The 20,802-nt window shown below is 57.8% G+C and overlaps 1 protein-coding gene across 3 annotated transcripts in view, besides 5 other annotated features; it reads right to left on the bottom strand.

The window, feature by feature from the left end:
- Window positions 1,249-1,843: an enhancer, noted in NCBI's record as "H3K4me1 hESC enhancer chr9:129464425-129465019 (GRCh37/hg19 assembly coordinates)". NCBI's record gives its function as "activates a minimal SCP1, AML or CMV promoter by ChIP-STARR-seq in naive H9 embryonic stem cells {active_cell/tissue: H9 hESC(naive)}" and the evidence as "EXISTENCE:reporter gene assay evidence [ECO:0000049][PMID:30033119]".
- Window positions 2,957-20,802, bottom strand: part of LMX1B (LIM homeobox transcription factor 1 beta) — an 87,105-nt gene continuing 69,259 nt past the window's right edge. Inside the window, exons 3-8 of one of the 3 annotated variants that reach the window (NM_001174146.2) lie at window positions 12,921-13,153; window positions 10,666-10,847; window positions 10,388-10,465; window positions 10,144-10,243; window positions 8,007-8,150; window positions 2,957-7,695 (exon numbers count right to left, since the gene is read on the bottom strand). In NM_001174146.2, coding sequence (NP_001167617.1) covers window positions 7,538-7,695; window positions 8,007-8,150; window positions 10,144-10,243; window positions 10,388-10,465; window positions 10,666-10,847; window positions 12,921-13,153 — 895 coding nt within the window. In that variant the 3' untranslated portion in view covers window positions 2,957-7,537. Of the gene's footprint in view, window positions 7,696-7,985; window positions 8,151-10,143; window positions 10,244-10,387; window positions 10,466-10,665; window positions 10,848-12,920; window positions 13,154-20,802 lie in introns of all 3 variants that reach the window. The other 2 variants (NM_001174147.2, NM_002316.4) reach the window with 2 other exon arrangements.
- Window positions 7,034-7,534: an enhancer, noted in NCBI's record as "H3K27ac-H3K4me1 hESC enhancer chr9:129458734-129459234 (GRCh37/hg19 assembly coordinates)". NCBI's record gives its function as "activates a minimal SCP1, AML or CMV promoter by ChIP-STARR-seq in naive H9 embryonic stem cells {active_cell/tissue: H9 hESC(naive)}" and the evidence as "EXISTENCE:reporter gene assay evidence [ECO:0000049][PMID:30033119]".
- Window positions 8,924-9,694: an enhancer, noted in NCBI's record as "H3K27ac-H3K4me1 hESC enhancer chr9:129456574-129457344 (GRCh37/hg19 assembly coordinates)". NCBI's record gives its function as "activates a minimal SCP1, AML or CMV promoter by ChIP-STARR-seq in naive H9 embryonic stem cells {active_cell/tissue: H9 hESC(naive)}" and the evidence as "EXISTENCE:reporter gene assay evidence [ECO:0000049][PMID:30033119]".
- Window positions 15,226-16,108: an enhancer, noted in NCBI's record as "NANOG-H3K4me1 hESC enhancer chr9:129450160-129451042 (GRCh37/hg19 assembly coordinates)". NCBI's record gives its function as "activates a minimal SCP1, AML or CMV promoter by ChIP-STARR-seq in naive H9 embryonic stem cells {active_cell/tissue: H9 hESC(naive)}" and the evidence as "EXISTENCE:reporter gene assay evidence [ECO:0000049][PMID:30033119]".
- Window positions 19,971-20,691: an enhancer, noted in NCBI's record as "H3K4me1 hESC enhancer chr9:129445577-129446297 (GRCh37/hg19 assembly coordinates)". NCBI's record gives its function as "activates a minimal SCP1, AML or CMV promoter by ChIP-STARR-seq in naive H9 embryonic stem cells {active_cell/tissue: H9 hESC(naive)}" and the evidence as "EXISTENCE:reporter gene assay evidence [ECO:0000049][PMID:30033119]".

The raw sequence follows: 20,802 nt of genomic DNA, 5'->3' as shown, positions 1-20,802 counted from the left end.
AATCTGGGGTGCGCGACAGGGGCTGGCAGCAGTGAGGGGTTCCAGAGGCAGGACTGGGGGCTCTCAGAGTCATTGAAGATAAGTTTTGTAGGGTGACCTCAGAGTTATACTCCTTGCCTGTGATCTCTCCTTTCTCAACTCCACAGGATCCATGGCCTAAACCTCAAATTCCTGGGAGGAATCATTCCGGAACCAAGTTACTCTCCAAGCCTCAGTTTTCTTATCTGTGCAATGGGCTAGGAGCTGTTCTGAGTTGTCGTGAGGGCCAATGGCCCAAAGTCTGAGACTGGCAGGGGCAGGCATTCCACTAGTGCCCGTCCTGTTTAACACTGGCCCCTGGGCTGGGCACAGCAGCTCGCACCTATCATCCCAGTGCTTTGGGAAGCCAAGGTGGGAAGGTTGCTTGAGACCAGGAGTTCAGGACCAGCGTAGGCAACAGAGACTCCGTGTCTACAGAAAAACTTAAAAAATTAGCTGGGTATGGTGACGTGTGCCTGTAGCTCCAGCTACTCAGGAGGCTTGGGTTGGAGGCTTGCTTGAGCCCAGGAGTCTGAGGTTTAGAGTGAGCTATGATTGCACCGCCGCACTCCAGCCTGGGTGACAGTCAAAATTAAAAATCTGCTCCCAGAAAGGGGGTTCAGAGGGTGACCGCTTATTCCCCGGGACTCAGCCTACATTTTCTCTGCCAACCCATGCCTTTACCTTCTGGGCTAGGGAAAGAAGACAGGCAGGTGACAAGGGAGAGACGGATTAGCACAGCTCCTCCCCTTCACCCCTCACCCCACATTTTTTAGTGACAGGATTTTAAACGGTTGCTGTAGGCAAGAGAGCTGTCAGCCCATTATGGGCGAGGGTGGAGCTTAGAGAGCTCCTCACATGAGCCCAGCCTGTGGCTTGGACAGAAAGCCCCATTAATCCTCCCTCTGTGCTGTGCAGTCTGGGTTGAGCAACTTGATTTCTCTGAGCCTCAGTGAGGCACTCTGAAGGTAGGAGTTTCCTTGTTCCCGGGACCCTGGGCCTGACCTGGAGGACCGGATCGCAGGGCCAGAGAGTCTGGTCTTGGGGAGGCAGCTGGCGTGGTGGCCAGGCCATGGGTTTGCAACTGCACCTGGGTTCGAGCCCTGGTTCGGCTGTCCCTTGCTAGCTTTGCTGCATTGGGCTGGTCGCTTTCGCCTTCCAAGCCTGGGTTTTCCCTTCAGAAACATGGGGACCTGCCTCTTGGGGTTGTTGGAGTGTAGAGGAGGACATGAACCGGAGGTCCTCCAAGTCGTTAGACTCTGAAGGCAGCTGGAACTGCCCGGGGAGGGCTGTGAATGGAGAGCCCAGAAGAGGGTGCAGGGCGGGGCCTGCCCCTAGGGGGCGCTGGTGCCCGCGGGCATCCAGGGATGAGAGGTGGCCTTCGGGTGGTCCCTGCCACAGGTGTGGGGAGAGGAGGTCGGGGAGCAACCAGAGGGCTGGCAGAAGGGAGAGAACACTGGGACGTCAGGTCTGCGGACAGGAGGCCCAGAGGCCTCCCAGATGCAGACATGCAAAGATAGGCAATGACGCCGTGTGGGGTATGCAAACATCTCCACCAGCACGTCGCCACATCAGGGACACGTGTCTCCAGGTGCAGAGACATGCGGCCTCGCCAGGAGACACAGCCATGCACGATGGTCTGACACCTGCAGACCCCCAGCTTCATGCAGGACATATCCAGGCAAACCGGCCCACAGAGCTATTCCATAGACACACACACGTCCACACATGCACACACACCCTGAGAGTTTCAAGGAATGCACCTTGGAAACCAAATTCCCTCGAGTCTCTGCCATCACCACCATACTCCCCATCCCTGCCACCATCTCTAGAGACCCCACAGCCACATCCCATCCCAAGTCCTCACGATTCCTCAGGGTTTGGCTTCAGCTTCTTCCTCCTCCCATGCCGTCCTCCTCTGGGGAACTCATCCATCCCGTGCCTCAGTGGCCAGCCACCTGGTTGAAGACCCGGGTGCTCAGCATCCCGTCTGGTCACTCTGAGGCCCAGCCCTGGCCCAGGACGTCTCCACTTGGATGCCTGGGAGACCCTAAGCTCACACGCCCAGACCACACATGTCCCCACTCCCTGTGCCTCCTGTGCCCCCGTCTCGGTGATCCAGGGACCTAGATGCTGCCTGGACTCCCCCCTCACCAATATCTCCGGGATCTGCCCTGGAGACTGCCACCCTAGTCAAAGCCATCGTCACCTCTCACCTGGTGACCCAACTGACTTCCCTGCTTCCATCCAGTCACCTTGATCTAATCGGATCTATTCTCTACTTGGCAGCAAGGCCCTGAACGGTCTGGCCCTGCCCTCAAACTTTGCTGTTCTTGCAGTTTAGGAGATTCACAAGATTTTGCCTGCCCCTGAGGTTTTGGACAAGTCTGGAATGCTCTCAGACACCCCTTCTCACTCTCAGTCCTCCTGATGCCAGGTAACTTCAGATCACAGCTTAATATGTAGCTTCTTCCAGGAAGCCTTCCATGATGCTCCACCCTCCAGACGAGGTTGGGTACCCGGGCAACAGGGTTTCTTTGTACCTCAACTGAGCTTGTATCACACTGCGATCTCCTTGAAGCAGGGATAGCCAATCCCCAGTTCTCAGCCTGGTGGCTGGCACTTAAGGGGCCTTCGCAAATACTGGTTGATTGAATGAATGAAAGTGTTGGAGAATGGGATAGAGTGAAATGGAGATGGGGTGAATGCATTTCTTTTAAGGTTGGAGATGGCTCAGGGTTGGGATGAGACAAAGGTGGAAGAGAAGAGAATCACAGGAGGGTTGGGCAAGAATAGGGACCTCAAGCCCTCCCGCCTCCGGACCTGCTGTCCCTGGTGGCCATCAACAAATCTGCTAATGTCACGTGCAAAGACCGGCCCAGGCCCAGGACAGCCCCTTCCTCCACCCGGGCCCTGCCCACCAAGGAGAAGACCACAGGAGTGTACAGGTCGGTTTATTTACAAATATACTGATGTCTCATCTTTTTTTGTTGTTGTTTCCATTTTCTGCTGTTGTGGGAAGAGGTGGAAGGTGAGAGTGGAGGGCAGGGTGGGGGTGGTGGTGTGGTAAACGCTAATAAATAATTTAACAATGACAAGTTATTAAATAAAATGTGTCTGGGGATGGCGGGTGGGTAGTGAGAATCTGTCTGTACAAGGAAAACAGGAATGGCCGGTGGCCCATCCCCACACCTGGCTGGGCTGGGCTCCCATGGGACCCCCAGGTGGGGTCGGGGGAACCAGCAAAGAGGCTCATTGGCAATGGTGCCTTCCAAGGGCCAAATGTTGGAGGGGTCTTTCCTGCTCCCCCAGTCCCCAGGCCACATGTGCCTGTGAGTATGGGTCCGCAAGCCTCCGTGTGCGTCCAGGTGTGAGTGTGTGTGTGCGAGCGCGTGCGTGTGAGCGTGGAGCCCTTTCCCCCCAGGGCAGACTTAGCCCCAGAGCTGCAGGCTCTCCCTCACCCTAGGTGGTGCCCAGAGCTCAAGGATGGAGCCAGGCAGGCATCAGGCAATCCTCCTTCCTGAGGTTCCCTGCGTGCAACATGAAAAGGACATTCAGATGGGGGCAGAGTGGGGAATCAGCCTCTTGCTAGGAGGCTGCAGGGCTTCCCAAAGGAGAAGAGGCTTGTCCCTGCCAGGCCCTGCTCATCTGATGCAGCGCCAGGGCCTTCCCACCTTTACCCACCCTCAGGAAGCCTCCTAAGATGCCCAGCCACGTGCACCAACCCCCTTTCTGAGCTCTTTCCAGGCTGTGCTGGCACCTTGGTCTGACTCTTGTGAGCAGTGTCTCTGTGTGGCCTCCCTGTGCGTTTCCCAGGATAGCAGAGTACCTGGGAGGCTTCACGGAGTAGGCAGATGAGGCTCTGGCTGGGGCCATGCCCAGCTTTTTGTCCCTCCTCTGCCCTGTGTTACCTGGGGCAATTATTTCCTCTTTCTGAGCCTTGACTTCCCCAGCAGGGAAGTGGAACTTGGTCTTTTGCCAAGACTCCCCCTGCCCACCTCTCATTCTCTTTTGCTCTGGAGACCACACAGTTATCTCCCTCTTCCCACTCCAGCCCCCTTAGTGATGAAGGTTCCATGTCACGGCACGGGCAAGGGGTGGTCCTGGCTACTCCCCGCCCAGCTCCCAGCCAAGGCTGCAGCTCCTCCCATAAAGTGGGAGAAGGTTGCCCAGCCCCACAGGCTTCTGCTGGGTGGCCCTGAACACATCGCCTCCCTTCTCTGAGCCTCAGGCTCCTCATCTGAGAAACGGGTCCCTGCCATGTCTGGACTCTCTGGCTGGGCCGGAGAGTCTGGCTTTCCTTCTAGGAGACACCCCTCAAGGCAGGCCCTGCATCTTGTTCATCTGCGAGCCACACCCAGTCCGGGGCTGGGCAGAGTGGGCACTGGTGTCTGGGAGCCTGTGGGCAGCAAGGCACAGCATAGAGCAAGGGGCCCCTAGCCACGGCTGACAGGGCGCCTCCAGCATAAGGGACTCTCTGAGGTCCCTTCTGGCTTTAACAGTCTGTGGGTCACAAGCATGCTGTCCCTAGACCAGCTCCTGGCATGGGGTCCCGGCTGGATTCGGGGGTTTGTGAGGCCCCAGAATGGGAATATGTGACCCCAACAGCTGGCAAGTTTACTAAGAACAAGTTGTGACCCCCTGACCTGGAGGTCATTCACAAACCACAGGGGACAGTGGGGCACAACGTCCCTGTTCTCAGCTCAGCTCTGTCACTAACCCGGACCTTGGACAGGCCTCTTTCCCTCTCTTGCCTCAGGGTTTCCAACTATAAAATAAGGGGCAGATGAGATGACCGCTTCTGACGTCCCTTCCAACTTATTGGGTCTGAGAGAGAAGGGCCAGGTCTCCTGGGGGATAGGGCATCTGCCCCTGAATCTGCCCAGGATGTCCCTGGCACGATTCAGATGGTGCATGTGCAAAAGGAGAAAGAGGGGTGTCTCTCCAGAAGCCAGTGCAGCTGCTGCTCAAGAGACCCATGGTGGCACGGACCCTGGTGGGCTGAGGCGGCAGAAGGACCAGAACATCAACTGAGGTCCTTGGAGAGGCTCTGTTTGTAAGAAGAGCTGCAGAAGGGCTAGCTGGCTGCTGGGGCCCAATGGGTGACACGAGGCCACATGTCAGGCAAGGAGGTTGGCCCAGGACATTCTGGGGGGACTGAATTTCCCAGCAAACGGGAGCAAAACCACAGAACAGGTTGAACTTAGAGGATTCCAGAGATCCAGGCAGAGGGCCCCAAAGGTGGAAAAGGGACATTCATTATCCTTACTTGCTCAAAGGTTGGACCAGGCAGACTTTAGGGTGGTGGCCTAGGGCTTGACCTCAGAGTTAAAGGTAGGGTTGTGAGCACCTGAACAAGGGGACACAGTGATCACCAGGGGACAGGGTGGGCTCACCAGTCAGGCCCCAGCAGCCCAGCCTCCTTGCTCTGACAGGGATAGAGTTGAGCAGACTGGGGCTGGGGATGGATCTAGTGCACCTGACTTCCAGCAGGGCGCCTGACACAATCTTCTGCAATTGCCCTGGGAGAAGGGGGCAGGAAATGCAATTGGAATGTGTCCCCCAAAGAGGATGCATTAATGGGCCAATGTCAAACAGGGAGAGGCCAGCCCGGTCCACACACCTCAGGTGAGACCCAGGGCCAACTCCTCACTGGGCAGATGTGCTGGGAGAGAGGAGAGCAGTGGTCACTGAATCAGGGTGCAGAGAAATTCCACAGGCTGGAATGAATCGAGTAAGAAGGAATGGAAAAGGAAAGAGGTCACGGTCCCTCATTCAGTCTAAACAGTAAGTGCAGACTGGGTGCGGTGGCTCACGCCTGTAATCCCAGCACTTTGGGAGGCCGAGGCAGGCGGATCACCTGAGGTCGGGGGTTGGAGACCAGCCTGACCAACATGGAGAAACCCCGTTGCTACTAAAAATACAAAATTAGCTGGGTGTGGTGGCGCATGCCTGTAATCTCAGCTACTAGGGAGGCTGAGGCATCAGAATCACTTGAACCTGGGAGGCGGAGGTTGTGGTGAGCCGAGATCGCGCCATTGCACTCCAGCCTGGGCAACAAGAGCGAAACTCCGTCTCAAACAAAACAAAACAAAACAAAACAAAACAAAACAAAACAAAACAAAACAAAACAGTAGGTGCCCCCATCCTGCATATACACAGAAAACAGATGTGGCTTAGCTGTCACTTGCGTGTGGGGCCCAGGGATTTAGCTACAGCAGGGCAGGGTGAATCTCTAAGGTCATGTGGCCAAATCATTGTCTTTTGGGCCAAATTAACAGAGGAAGGGTGCCACAGCAGGAGAGGTGATGTGCCTGCTCACTTCTGGCCGGCTGACATCAGTGGGAAGGTGAAGTGATACCTGCCCCACACCTTTAGAGGGACAGCCGGAGGCCTGCTGGGGGACAGTGTTAAGAGGGAGAGCTGGGGAAGCCTGGCTCTGGGATGCAGGACAGCACAGCTGCTGTGGGCTCGCTGACCTAGTGAGCTCCTTGTCACTGGAGGTATGTGAGGGGAGGCAGAGGTGGCTGGGGAGAGGACCACATTGCAGATGGGGTGCCCAGCAGGTGCTTCTGAAGTCCCTGACCCCTGGAGGCTCTGTTGTCTGGTCTGATGCTACCTGGTTCTGGGGGCTCCATCTGCCTCTAGAGTTGGTGGGGCCTGGGGCTGCCCTCCCTGCCCAGGCTGCCCCCATTTGGGCCCAGGCTGGGATACAACTGGGTCCGATGCTTCAAGTTCGCCTCTTCCTCTCCCCTTCCTCCCTTTCCAATCGCTCTTAAGAACTGGGGGGTCCCCTGCCTGGCCTCCTTTTCTCTTTCTGACAAGGCAGGACAGACCCGCTGAGCATCCCTGTCCCTTCTGGTGTCCCCATACAGCTGTGTGTGTGTTTGCGTGGGTTTGTCTGCAAGTGTGCATGTGTCTGCACGTGCCTCTCTGTCCCTTTGCGCCTGCCCAGGCTCAGGCTCCGAGCCCGCCTCCTGACAGTGCCTCCCCTCAGGCCCCTCTCCACTGCTGCTCCAGACTCAGGCTGAGGGGTGTGCGGTTCCAGGCAGTGGGCCTGCCCCCAGAGGCCACCCCTGCCCTTGCTGGGGCACAGGTACACACGCTTCTCAGGTCACCGCCTCATGACACCATTGTCCTGGGGCTTGCATGGAGGGCCATGGACACAGAGAGGACATTTAAAAAAATAGAGAGAATTTAAGCTTCCCAAAAAAGAGATGGGGAGGAGGCGATGGAGGCCGAGGTGGGGCTGGGAGGCGAGTGGCCGTCCGAGAGCTCTGGGTCCCTGGGGATGACAAGGTCTCTGTGGGCAGGACACAGCCCCTGCCCAGGCTGTGCCCATCTACCGGTCTGGCTGTACCCAACGGGCACAGTGGTCAGGCCCAGCTGGCCGAGGGGAGGGCACCGTATGGCTGTCTGTAGTCTGTGCGGAGAGCAGGGCGGGGGTGGCCAGGCTGGCCGCAGAGGCTGGCAGTCCCCCCCAGGCCCCTGCCCAAGCGTCCGTGCGCCTGGCTGGCTCTCAGGAGGCGAAGTAGGAACTCTGCATGGAGTAGAGCCGGTCGATGGGGTTCCCCACGCGGGCCTGCAGGGAGCCCACGTCTGAGGAGCCGAGGAAGCAGTCGCTGAGGCTGGTTAAGGAGGTATCGCTGTCGATGTCATGGAAGATGGAGTCGTTCCCTGGGGGGCAGAAGGGGTGTCAGGACCGGGGTACAGGCTGGGGCTCCTGGGGGCCCCCTGTTTGCCCTGTAGGCTGTGTGACTGGAGGCCAGGGAGAGACAGGATGGCCTGCTGACTAGTGCCGGCCAAGAAGGACTGGGGCCCTTCCTGTCAGCAGGGGCAGGAGGGCTGTGCTGGCCATGCTGCCTGAGCCCTAGGGCAGCAGGTGGCTGTCCTGGCCCCAGGCCTGCCTGGCCTGGCAGGGGGCAGGGGCTGTGCTGGGGCGGGCGGGTGGGGGTAGGGCGGCTTACCATAGGGGTTCATGTGGTCACCTGGCATTTGGGGCGGCGTGAGGCCCTGCTGGAAGGGGTCGCTGCTGCCGTAGGGGCTCTGTTCCATGGCCACGATCTGCTGCTGTGGTGGGGCCAGCGGCGTGTAGGAAGCCATCATGCCCTCCATGCGGCTGGACAGGACCTCTGGGGGCACAGTGAGCCTTCACCCCCTGGCCTGGTCCACGCCCTCCCAGCTACACCCCAGCAGCCTCCCCTTCTGATCTCCTTGGGACTCCCCAGGCACCCCACTCTGGCTGAAGCTGTCCAGACACTGACTCCCCAGCCCCTTCCCCAGGTGCACACTCCAGCTCCTCCTCCAGGCTCAGCTTACCAAAAGCCAGAGTCCTCCCCTCCTCATCTTCTTTCCTCCCACCACCCCGCCCCTCCAGGGGATCCAGGGAGGCGGCAGACCCCACACAGGCAATAGTGATTCTGCGCTGCATCTGGGAGCACCAAGGTCCCAGACCCAGGCCAAAAAGGCCCCGGGAAGACTTCCTGGAGGAAAGGGCCCCCGCCCTGATGTGACTTAAAGAACTAGCAGGGGCTCAACAGGCCAGAGCAGGGGAGGCAAGCCAGGCTGAGGGGCGGCAAAGGCATGGAGGAGACAGACCGCCGGGTAAGTGAGGGTGCAGCACGTGGGGCCAAGAGGCAGGGAGAGAGGTCGGTGTGGGGGAGACCAGCTGAGAGGGACCACAGGTCATGGGGAGCCCTGGGGTGCCGAGCTGGGTGGGGGTCCCCGAGGCCGCTGGGAGCCGCTGGAGGGTTTGGTAGACGAGGGTGAGAAAGGCTGGAGGAGGAGACCGAGGCTGGGGCCAGTGGGTGAGGAAGCCAGAGGAAGGGTGGGGTCTCTGTCAAGGTGGCTGTGGGAGAGACAGCTCCTAGGAGGGTGCGAGAGACATGAGAAGACTTCACTCCCCAACTTGGCACCTCAGTGGATCAGCAGTGTGGGATGGGGAAGGTCAGAGGTGACTCCTGGTTCCTGGCTCGGACAGGGCGGATGGTGGTGCCATTTGCAGAGAAGGGTGGGGAGGAGCAGGGCATGCCATGTGCGTGTGGGCAGGATGGAGCATACGGCATGGGTTGGGATGAGCTGGGGGGACTGTGGGACCTTCTCAGGGAGGCTGTGTCCAGGAAGCAGCTAGGAACACTGAGGGGTGAGACATAGCCCAGGACATGGCTGGGAGACCAGAGGCAGTGACTGCAGCCCCAGGAGGGGCAGAGGGGGAAGCGAGGAAGCAGCAGGCACTAAGGCTGTGTCATTAGAAGCCAAGTCCAGCCTGGGACACTGGCCTGGCCCCCAGTGCCCTGGTATCTGCCCATTGGTGCCCTGGCACCTGCCCAGAAGCCTCCCTCTCACCAGGGCGCAGGCAGCTCTGTCCCCCGCCTGCTTCAGCAGTCCCAGGGAGCTCCCTGCTCCTCCCTCATGGCTTTGAAGGCCCAGGAGACCAGCCCTGGCTCAAGATTCTGATGTGGAAACACGATTTTTGGTAAAGCCCAGTGATGAGGGGGCCTGACTCATGCCCCTGCAGCTAGTCCCTCCCGACTCCCCAGGCCCTTCACGCCCTGACAAGCTTTGTCTGCAGAATTCCGGCAGTGGGGTAGTGTCATCCTGTTAAAGGTACAGGCTTGAGCTCCAGGCTTGGGGCTGAGGTCCAGCTTTGCCTTACTGGCTGAGGGATCCCAGGCAGTCCCTCAGTTTCCTCATCTGTGAAATGGGACATGGCAATACCCCCCCTTGCAGTGATTTATGAGGACAGGGTGAGATGGGGTGTGCTGAAGGCTGAGACCCGTGTCTGCACGCAGTGAGTGTGAGTAGACTGTTGCTGTTCTGATTGCAGAAATTCTGCCAACCCTCCAGGCAGCCACTCTGCCATCTCTCCTCCCTGGGTCCCCTAGTCCCCATGGCTTCTCTATTTCTCTGTCTCAGTGGTTTTAAAGCAGAAGTTCCCTGGGATCTGATGGCCTTGGTGGAAGGCTTTTGAGAAGTTTTGTTAAAAGAAACATCCCGGGCCCCTTTGTCCCTAGCCCTGGGACAGGTGCAGCCCCGGTCCCAGCCCTGGCCCAGGCTCACCCAGCCCCAGCCTCTGCCCCAGCTCACCCTGGCCTAGGCCCACCCCTGGCCCCGGCCCCAGCTCACCCTGGCCCAGGCCCTGCCCCGGCCCCGGCTCACCCTGGCCCAGCCGCTGGGAGTTCTGCTGCTCCTGCTGCTGCTGGTGCCGCCGCGCCAGCTTCTTCATCTGCAGGGAGAGCGCAGTTCAGGCCGGTGCTGCCCCTCGCCCCCAGGCACAGCCAGCCCCACGCCCCCTGGACCGTAGTCTTCTGGCTGCCCCCTCTAGTCCCACCCTACCCGGGGCCAGTGGGGATGGGGGGTGGCCTCTTACCTTTGCTCTTTGGTTCTGAAACCAGACCTGGACCACGCGCACACTGAGGCCCGTCTCAGCTGCCAGTGTCTCTCGGACCTGGCTCAGAGAGAGGGGAACAGGTCAGGCCCTCCAGGGGCAGCAACGGGGAGATGGTGGGTTTAGGGGTATGATGGGATGTGCGGAGAGATGGAGGATGGAGGGATGTCCCTACCCCCAGCAGGAGCAGGGGGTGGTCTCCAGAAAGGCAGTGGGTGTGCGGGCATCAGCCTGAGCCCCGCCCCCCGGCCGCCCCTCACCTTTCGGCAAGGCTTCGACGAGACCTCGAAGGAGGCCTTGAAGGCTCTTCGCTGCTGCGTGGTGAGGATGGTCCGGGGTCGCTTGGGCCTCCGCGGGTCCTTCCCGTCATCCCCGCTGCCCTTGCTCTGACTGCCCTGCCCCTTGGCCGGCTTCATGTCCCCATCTTCATCCTCGCTCTTCACTGTGGGGGACACAACCCGGCCTGTGATGAAGGGGCGGGGGCAGCCCAGGCCTCAGCCTTGTCCCCTTCGGCAACCTGCTGCCCGATGGGAGCCTGTCCCCTCTGTTGACACCTGCCGTGGCTCCCCAGTGGCCCAGGATAAGATCTCCTTCCCTCCCGTGGCCCACAGGCCCTACCTCATCTGGGCCCTGGTCTCCTGCCTGCTGTACCCTGCGAGTCCCTTCCCCGGCACACACGCCTCACTCCCTCATCCTGGGCCGCAGGGCACACCTGCACAGGAACTCACACAGGTGCGCCTCGGACAACCACAGCACAGGCATGCACACACGTACATGTGGCTGCACACACTTTCAGGAAGGCAGGCCCACTCGGGGAACAGGCAGACAGGTGCACGCACGGTTGTGCACATGGCTGTGTGGACATACACGAAAGTGTGCAAGCAAAGACACACACCACAGATATTCACACAAGAGTGCTTCTGACCACAGCGTATGCACGCACACACTCGTAAGATGCACACTCACCTGCTGCCACATACACGTGGGCTCACAAAGGCCCTCACGCGTGCAACTCACAGGCGTATTCACACACATGGGCCCATGCTCACGGGCAGGAACGTACAGGCATGCATGCATCTGGACAGACACACACAGCGTGCGGAAGCATGTGCATTCTCCCAGTGCTACAGCCACACCCACCATGCACACATGGCACTTCCCCGCCCCAGGTTTGGGTCTCAGAAATGCCAGCAGCCCCAGATGGATGGCCAAGCCTCCCCAGCCACCACTGGGCCTCCCGCTGCCCCCCAGGCTGGTCTCCTTTCTTCAATCCTGTTCTTGGAGTATGAGGCGGGTGATCTCCTCCCACTGAGACCCCCTCTGCTGGGGCTGGCCAGCCTCTGCTCTTCCTCAGGAGTCCAGGCAGCTGGAAGCCATGGAGCTGGCTGCAGCAGTGCCCTGCCCAGGGATGGGTAGGGACAGATGGTGGTGGGCTCACTGCCTCCACGCAGGCCCTGGCCATGGAAAACCCTTCCCATGTGGCAGATCCTGTTGCCGGAGGGCTCCAGGTTACCCATGGGGCCTGGCAGACCGGGACACCTCCTCTCCATGCCTCCTGCTCCAGTCCTTCCCCACTGTTCCCAGGAAGAACAAGGACCAAAGCCACCTCCTGGGCTTTCCCTCCTTAAGGCTCACTCCTGGCTGGGCTTGCCCTGTCTGCCAGGAGGCCTTCAAATTGGCCTCGTCCTTTTGGGGGCTAGAGCAGAGGAGGGAGGGTCCTTCACCCTGGGAAATGGGGTCTTTCCCTCCAGCACAGAGGGCCCAGCCCCCTCCCTTCGGCTGGGAAACAGAGGCTGGCTCGAGGCTGTTTGCTTCTCACTGCTGAAGGCTCCAGGGGGCTGAGAAGGGGAAGGCACATCATCTCCCTGCCTCTCAGGCATCCCCAGCCTGTGGACTGGGTGCTGGTGAAGACCCCTGTGGAGCTGGGCTGCGGGTTGGTGGGGGGCCATCAAGGCAGAGAGGGTAAGGGGGGTGGGCCAGAGAACAAGAGGTGTGTGTGTGCACACAAGCACAATCCACAGTACATGTGAGCATGTGGACAAACATATATGTGCAGCCATGTGGACCGGTGTTTAGTGCACAAGTGTGCTGTGTCATGTGTGTATGTGTATGTATGCTTAAGTGTGTACACTTGTGTGTGTGGACCTGGGTGTGGCTTTTGAATTCCCGGGTATGTGAACACATATCTCCACATACATGTACATGTATCCATACTCAGGGTAGGGGTATTCCTGCATGCATTTTATGTGCTTGTGTGCACACATGTGATCACACATATGTTTATATGTATGGATGCGTAGGTCTCAGGGGTAGTGTGCCTGGGGGGATGCATGTTCGTATCATGTGCACACAGGTGGACACGTCAGTGCGCGTGTGCATCTGGATATGCATGTACCATCTGTGTGCAGCTCAGGTCCTGGAAGCAGGAGGTGGCTTCTCCAGCCGGGACTCCCCTCCAGGACACCCCAGCAACCCCCGTCCCTGAGGCCTGCCCCCAGCTCAGGCCAGGCCTCACCGGAGTCGGACTCGTCGGGGCTCACGGAGCTGAGCAGGTCCTTCTCCTTCTCGTAGTCACCCTTGCACAGCAGCTGGCCCTCCTTGAGCACGAATTCGTCGCCCTTGCGTAGCTGCCGTTCACACACGCAGCAGCAGAAGCAGCCCAGGTGGTACACGCACTCCAGCGCCCGCATCACGAACTCGGTGGGGGCGATCTTCTCCATGCAGCCGCTGCACTTGGCCGCGAAGAGCCTGCGGATGCACAAAGCGGGCGTGTTGGCGGTGCTCAGAAGTCCCTCCCAGAGGCCACTCCTGCCGAGGGCCTCTCCCTCTTGCCACCCTGACCCTCAGGCCCAGGTGGGAGGGAGAGGCCCTCCTTGGGCACCAGGTCAGACAGCAGAAGGGCCCTGCAGCCCTATTCTTCTGCCTACAGGCCCCCAGTGGCCCTGGGGTGGGTGCTGGCATCCTGCCTAGAGTCACCTGTCCCGGGCGTGGCAGCTCAGGGCCCTTCCAGCTCAGAGACACGGTGGCCACAAGAGGGCAGTGTGGAGGGTCCACTCAAACTTTCCTTGGGGGCCAGGTCAGCCCCTGGCTGGAAAGGATCCTTTCTACCTCAGCTCCCTGGTCTGCCTCTCCTCTGATCCTCCCTCACCAACACATCCAAGCAATTCCCAGCCCTGCCCAACCCACTGCCCAGCCTGGGCCCCTCCTCTCCTGCCCGAGCAACTGCCTGGTCCCCTCTCTGGGCTCCTGGCCCCTTCAATCCTTCAAACCCCAGCCCACACAGGAACCGTCACACACACAGGAGCCAGGGGGATCTTTCTAAAATACAAATCGGATCAAGCTGCTTCCCTGCTCCAGACTCTTCCATGGCTCCCTAGTGCCCTTAGGAGACCATCCGAGCTCCTGAGGCTGGCACTCAAGGCCCTTCATGATCCCGCCTCTTCCCTTTCTACCCTCTGCTTCCCCAGGCTGCAGCCCCAAAGAACAGCCTGCAGTTTCTCCAGAGCACTATCATGGCAGCCATCTTTCGACCCATCTTTCTCTGTCCTTTGGCTTGGCTAACACCTTCCCATCCCTCCGTCTCAGCTTACGCATCTCCATCACGAACAGATATTCACTGAGCACGTATAGAGTGCCAGCCCTGCTCTAAGCATCTTATATGCAGAGACGCATTTAATCCTTGCAACAACCCTGCAAGAAAAGAATGAACATTAACCCCATTTTAGAGATGAGGAAATTGAGGTGCTAAGAGGCAGAGTTGCTTGCTCAGGGTCGCATGGGTAGTAAATGCTGGAGGCAACTCCCAGGCTGGGCCTAATCCAGCTTCCACATGACAACGTGATTCCATCTCCCATCTCCCATCATCTCTGCAGACAAACGAGGGCCGGGAGAGGTGGTCTCCGGGCCCTGGTCAGCACTAGCAGGAGGGCTGGGCAGCACGGCCCCTCCTCTGCTGTGTCTGCTGACCGCTCCTCCCGACACTCCCCCACCCTGTCACGTGTCCTGCTCTGTGGGAACTCAGCTCAACAACACTTTGATGGAAAAATTTATGAAGAATCAAATTATTGCTGCTGGGAGGGAATTAAAACCATTTTTCATTCCCGGCGTCCCCGGGCCATGTCTGCGGGCGCCACCTTGGGAGCGCTGTGCACATCCCATCCCTCTTTATGGCCCACCATCACGGGCACAGATTACAGCTGCAATTCTCTACTAATCGGTTCTGGAACAGAAATGGCCATAAATGGGAGGCACTCGCCTGCCTCCCTTCCTGGAGCTGCCGTCAGAACCGCCCACGGCGAGCTGGTGGGGCGAAGTGGGCAGGGCCACTTGGAGCTCTGCATGCTGCCTGGGCACTGGCCAGAGCACTCAGCAGGGGGCACCCCCAGCAACCCCTGCCACCCACCTCTATTCTACCCAGCAGGCTCCTACTCATCCTGCAATGCCCAACTCCAATGCCACCTCCTCTGGGAAGCCTTCTCTGATGCCCCAGTCTGGGGGAGGTAGCCTCCTCTATGCTCCCCTCAGCGTCCCCCACCTCAGTTTACTCCTGTAAAATGGAGATGTCAAGCCCTTCCTGAAGGCTGTTGTCAGGATTCGAGGATGCTGAGCATGTAACTCAGTACACGGGTATCACAGCAGAATGACAATGCATGTCCCTGTTGGTGCCCAACTCTACCACCTCTACCAGGGTTCCATGAGACAGGACCTGGCCCCATCTGATCCTCAAGGGGGCCTCCGTGAGTGTTTACAGAGTAGGTGAGTAAAGGCCTGGGGTGAGCTGAGGCTGAGGCCAGGCTCTGCTCTGGGCATGCTGGACCCCACCAGCCTGCAGGGCATGGCTCTGCAAGGGGAATGTGGGCTGGATTTTGGCTCTAATTTGGCCCTCTGGCTGAATCCCCTTGTTCAGGGCACAACCTACCCAACTGTCAGTGACAGCTTTAGGCAGAGGCCCTAGGAATCTGGCTGGCTGTCCAGCTCTCCCGAGGGGCTGAGGAAGGAGCCTGGGTTTGTAGAACCCGGTGCTCTGACATGGAGGGTGGTCCTCCCCCAACCCCTACTGCCCCTCTGTCCCCTCCCCACACTCCACCTGACCTAGTGGCCACACTAAGGTCTGCAGCCTGACCTCTGCGGCCTCTGAGTGGACAGACACTGGCCGTGTCGCTGCTAGCGTGGGAGCGCCACGGTCCCAGGGTCCCAGGCCAGGGTCAGCACACCTTGGGTGACTCCCGGAGAGGAAACCTTCTTAGGCTGGGGAAGGGGCAGCAGGGCGGGTGACCTGCATTTGCAGTCAAAGCCACAGTGCTGGCTGTGCTCAGAACAGCCGCGCTAATGCCTTGGCAGCAGGGGGTCGATTGCTACTTTCTCCAAACTCATCAACACAATCTATTATTAATACTTCTCCAAAGGCTCAGTGCCGCCATTACAGAGGCAGCGCCAGCCACTCAGGGTATCATCTGTTATCTAGATTGCAAAAACTCAGGAAATAAAACAAACTGCGCGCACTTTATAAACAGAATGCGCCATCCGTTTGGTCTCCAAGCATCTCTCCACCCAATAAAACATCGGGGGGGATGCATGAAATACTCACTCCCAATTATGGGGCTGCCTTTGTCTACTGTGCTGGGGTGAGAGCGACTAATGGCGTGTATGGGAGGGGTTGGGGATACCAGCGGGGTTCCCTCTTCTCTGTGAGCCCCCATTCCCCCTCTCTTCGTGCCTCCCACCACGGAGGACTATGGAGCCAGCCACTGAGAAGAAGGCCCAGCCACAGACAGGTGGCATTGGAATCACATGGACTTGAGTTCCATGCCTTGTCCCACCACTTGCTAGCTGGTGACCGGGCAAGTAATTTTTCTTCTCGAGCCTCAGCTCACTTATCTATACAATGGGCTGGACAACACTGCCTGCATCTCAGCATGAAGATGTAGCGAGTTGTCAGTGTAAAGCAGCAGGTGTGGCGGGCACAACCTCCATAACTTCCTTGCTGTGCAGCTTTAGGCAAGGCATTTGACCTCTCTGAACCTCAAATTCTTCATCTATAAAATGGGAATGATCAGGCCAGCGCGGTGGCTCACGCCTGTGATCCCAGCACTTTGGGAGGCTGAGGCGGGCGGATCACTTAAGGTTAGGAGTTCAAAACCAGCCTGGCCAACATGGTGAAACCCCGTCTCTACTAAAAATACAAAAAATTAGCCGGGTATGGTGGCACACACCTGTAATCCTAGCTACTCCGGAGGTTGAGGCAAGAGAATCACTTGAACCTGGGAGGTGGAGATTGTGGTGAGCCAAGACCGCACCACTGCACTCCAGCCTGGGCGACAGAGAGAGACTCCGTCTCAAAAAATATATAAAAAATAAAAAAAAAAAGGGAATGATCATCCCCGACCATGGGGTTGTTGGCAGGGGCTGGATGCATTTAAAGCCCTCGGCACCATGCTGGCATGAAGAAGGTACTCCAGGTACCCCACATTTCTTTTGTTCGGTGTGTGCCCAAAACGCCTTTGTTGCTCACCCTTGCTAGAGTCTCCATGATTCCTGGGGGCAGCCTCCCTGACGCTGACTGGGTTTACAGGGCCCCACTGTGCCTCCTTCTCACCACCACCCCGGGTTCCGGCCAGCCCTTCTAGCTTGTTTGGCCTGATCTGGACAGAGCACTCCTGGCTCCGTTATCAGTCTCAGAACATTACTGAGGACTAATAATGCTCAGTTATCAGCTGCCTGCATCACCTCATTCAATCCTCACAGAACCCTCAAAGGAAGATGCTGTTTCCATTCCCATTTTACAGATGAGCACAGAAAGGTGCAGAGGCCAGGTCACTCTTTTAAGGTCACACGGCAGCATCACCAGATACTCCAGATACTCCCTCCCTGCTCTGTGCATCTCCATGTGCCTTTGCTCATAAGCTGCCCTTACCCTGGGCCCTGGGCACCATGCCCATGTCTGTCTCTTCCTGAGACTTGGGGCCCGATTCACCTCAAGTTCTTATTACTCAGCATCAGCCCGGCCTCCAGAAGGTGGGGGTGGCCATACACATCTCCCCTACCTCCAAACACATTTTTCCCCTCCAGGGGATCATCTGATATTATGGAGTAAGAAATTCCATTTTCAGGGATGTCCCTCCTTTGAAGAGTCCCAGGCTGTGAGAAGATATCTCCATATCCTCTGAGTTTTTACGGGTTTATTTGTTTAATGCTCAATTTATTAAACTCATAAGGCTAATAAACAAAACTCTGAAAGCCAATTTTTTCAGGAGCATTTGAACATGGATTACTAATCTGATTAATTTCTTTTTTTTTTTTTTTTTGAGATGGAGTCTCACTCTGTTGCCCAGGCTGGAGTGCAGTGGTATGATCTCGGCTCACTGCAAGCTCCGCCTCCTGGGTTCACGCTGTTCTCCTGCCTCAGCCTCCCGAGTAGCTGGGACTATAGGCACCCGCCACCACGCCCGGCTAATTTTTTGTATTTTTTAGTAGAGACGGGGTTTCACCGTGTTAGCCAGGATGGTCTCGACTTAAATCACTGGCAGCTGCAGAGACACACAGGGTATGGCTGATTCTTTCACCTCCAGTAACATTGGCTTCCTAATGTCCTGGGAGCACTCCAGCTTCTCCAAGCAGGTCTTCATGCCCAGATCTTAAGGTCCAGACTGCATGCACCGGGCTTGGAATCCCAGCCCTATCACTTCCTAGCACTGGAATCTTGCACAAGTCCCTTCTCTTGAGCCTCTGTCCACATCTGTCCAATGGGGATGATGACAGAGGCTGCCTTACAGGGCTGGGCTCAATAAACGGTGATCATGATCACTGTTATCAACTCTCCAGGACTTACCACCCTAACTCTCCGCTTACTACCCTTGCTGAGTCAAGATCTCCTACCCTCCTCTGAGGGTGCCATTCCCACACCCCGTCACTGCCCTTTACAGTTTATGTGGCTCTTCCTTGAGTTCTCAGAACAATTCACACTTCACACTCCACTCAGGTCTCTCTACTCTCAGTAGACCTCTTCCACTCCTCAAGGCAACCCTGTCCAGCCCCTCCGCCACAGCTTAGGGCAACTCCCAGCCTTTGTCCAGGACACTGCTACCTACCACTTCAGAGAGAAAGCAGAAGGTTGGGAGAGAGACACCCAAAGTTTGGTCTTGCCTCCTCATGAAGTTAGATTACAAACCTCTTCATTTCTGAACGTCCAAGAGTACCCCAAAATGTCAGGATAAGCCCAAAGACCTCGCTGTGGCACTCAAGGCCCCACCCACCCCGTGACACCCAGCTCTCTCGGCCAGGCTTCTCACTACTCCCTGAACATAGCAAGTCCCTTCTTGCCTCCTTAGTGCTTAAAATTCCATCTGCTTCCAAGGCCTGGCTTCTCTGCCCCCTTCCTTTGCATCTTGCTAAACTCCTCTTCATCCTTGAAGACCCAATTCAAGTGTCACCTCCTCTGTGAAGCCTTCCCTGATAGCCAGAATCCCAGCCACTCTCCAGTTATTTGTGCGTCTGAAGTCCCTACCAACCCAGAAATCAGATACTGGGTCTAATTTACTGGCATGGAGGAGGTGGTTAGTGTTTGTCAAATGAATGAACAACCATGTGTGAAACTAAATGGGCAGCCAGCTAGCACAAAAAAACACCAGGTATTCTGCTCCTAGGGGTCTGAAACTGCCACCAGGTAACAAGGTAAGTGAACTTGCCCTCCTGCCCCCAGCCCCTTCACAACAACACAACTTGGGTCCGGTTTGTTGAATTTGTATCAGTGGAGTTCCACGCATGCCTCCTGCAGGGCTGGGAGTCCCCCACCCCAAAAGCACCCTCATCCCCTGTACCAAGGGAAAGACCACGGGGGGTACCATGTTTGTACTAAGTGACTCTTGTGACTGGAAGTGATTGGACCAGGCCTGGACATCTGACTCAAGGGGAGCCAACCAGACCCTCTGTCCTGTGTCCCTTCCTTCCCCTGCACACTCAAGAGCTCTGTCAGCCCCTACTCCATCTTCAGGTGTGGCTGCCACACCTCCATCACCAGCTGCACAGCCTCGGGTGATGCACAGCCTCGGGTGATTCACATCCCTTCTCCAAGCCTCAGATTCCTGTTCTGTCAAATGGGGGTTTGACCTGTCCCTCCCTGGTAATTGAGAATCTGGTGATTTTAACCAGTGTGGGAAGGCATGGCCCAGCGTCTGGCACAGGAGGGATCTTAATAGGTGTGTGCTCTCTTCTCCTCCCCAGTCTGTCTCTGGAACTTTCTCTTCCCCACCTCCCTTTTTTGTCTGAAGCCCCGTAATTGCACTGTTGGGTCTGTGCTCTCCCTGTCTGTCTGTCTGTCCCTTTATAGGTATGCCCCGCACTGGGGACCAGGCAGATTCTAGGCTGGTTTCCTTTAGGGCCTCTCCATGCCCAAGCCCACGGTCCCAGCAGCAACCACTGCTGGAAACACCTTCCTCCCTCCATGGGGACCATGAGATTTGGCCCTTGCACTGCAGCCCTTCTGTTCCCACCGGCTACACCCTCTCACATTCACCCAGCAAACACCCATGGAGGCTGACTCTGGGCTGGGCTCATGGACTTGGGGCATGGAGTTAGAATCTCATCCCGTAGGACACGTGCTTGGATGGGGTACTGGGGCATGCTGGGCAAGCAGAGAGGCACAGAAAGCACCAAGAGTCTATCTGGGGACTTCTTGGAAAAGGTGACATAACACATACCTAAGAACCCGGTTCTGGAGCAGAAGGAATGGATTTAAATCCCGGCTCTGCCACTTCCTAGCTGCCTGACTTGGGACAAGCCCTCTCCGCTCTCTGAACTGGTTTTCCCATTTGAAAACTGGTGACCCCAATTCCCACCTTATGGGTAATCATCATAATGTATTGACCTTCCTGTGTCACACCTCCTCCCTAGGCTGGTGGCGAGGTGCCCAGGATGGCAGGCTGTAGAGCATGTCGGACAGTAAGCGCTCAGTGTGGTGGCTGAGGTTATGGTTGTGGGCGGGACGGGGCTCTGATGATGCCGGCTGAAGGATGAGCTGCAGTTCACAGGAGCTAGGCGACAGGACCCTAGACACTCTGGGGGTCACGGCTGCTGCTGCTAGAGTCAGCCTGTCACTTAGAGAGGGAGCCGCCCGGCCTCCTCCCTGCCGGACTCGCTGACATCTCCCCCACGTGCCTGCCGCGTCCTTATCATTCCGGGCGTAGCTGTTTTTTATTTTGAGACAAAAAAGGGCCTGTTGATGGGGATCCAACTCAAACCAGCTGCAAACATCTGCTTTGATGCGGCGGCCGCGGGCCGGGCGGGCGGCGGCGGGAGCCGCGGGCGGGGGCCCCGGTACGCGCGTCAATCACGCGGCTGGAATGCGCGGCGAGACGGGCGCGCTCTGCGGGCCTCGCGGGGCCTCTCCCAGCCTCCCGGCC

The sequence above is a fragment of the Homo sapiens genome, chromosome 9 (assembly GCF_000001405.40).
Source record: "Homo sapiens chromosome 9, GRCh38.p14 Primary Assembly".
Taxonomy (NCBI): Eukaryota; Metazoa; Chordata; class Mammalia; order Primates; family Hominidae; genus Homo; species Homo sapiens.
This window is presented reverse-complemented; position numbering and strand designations above follow the sequence as displayed.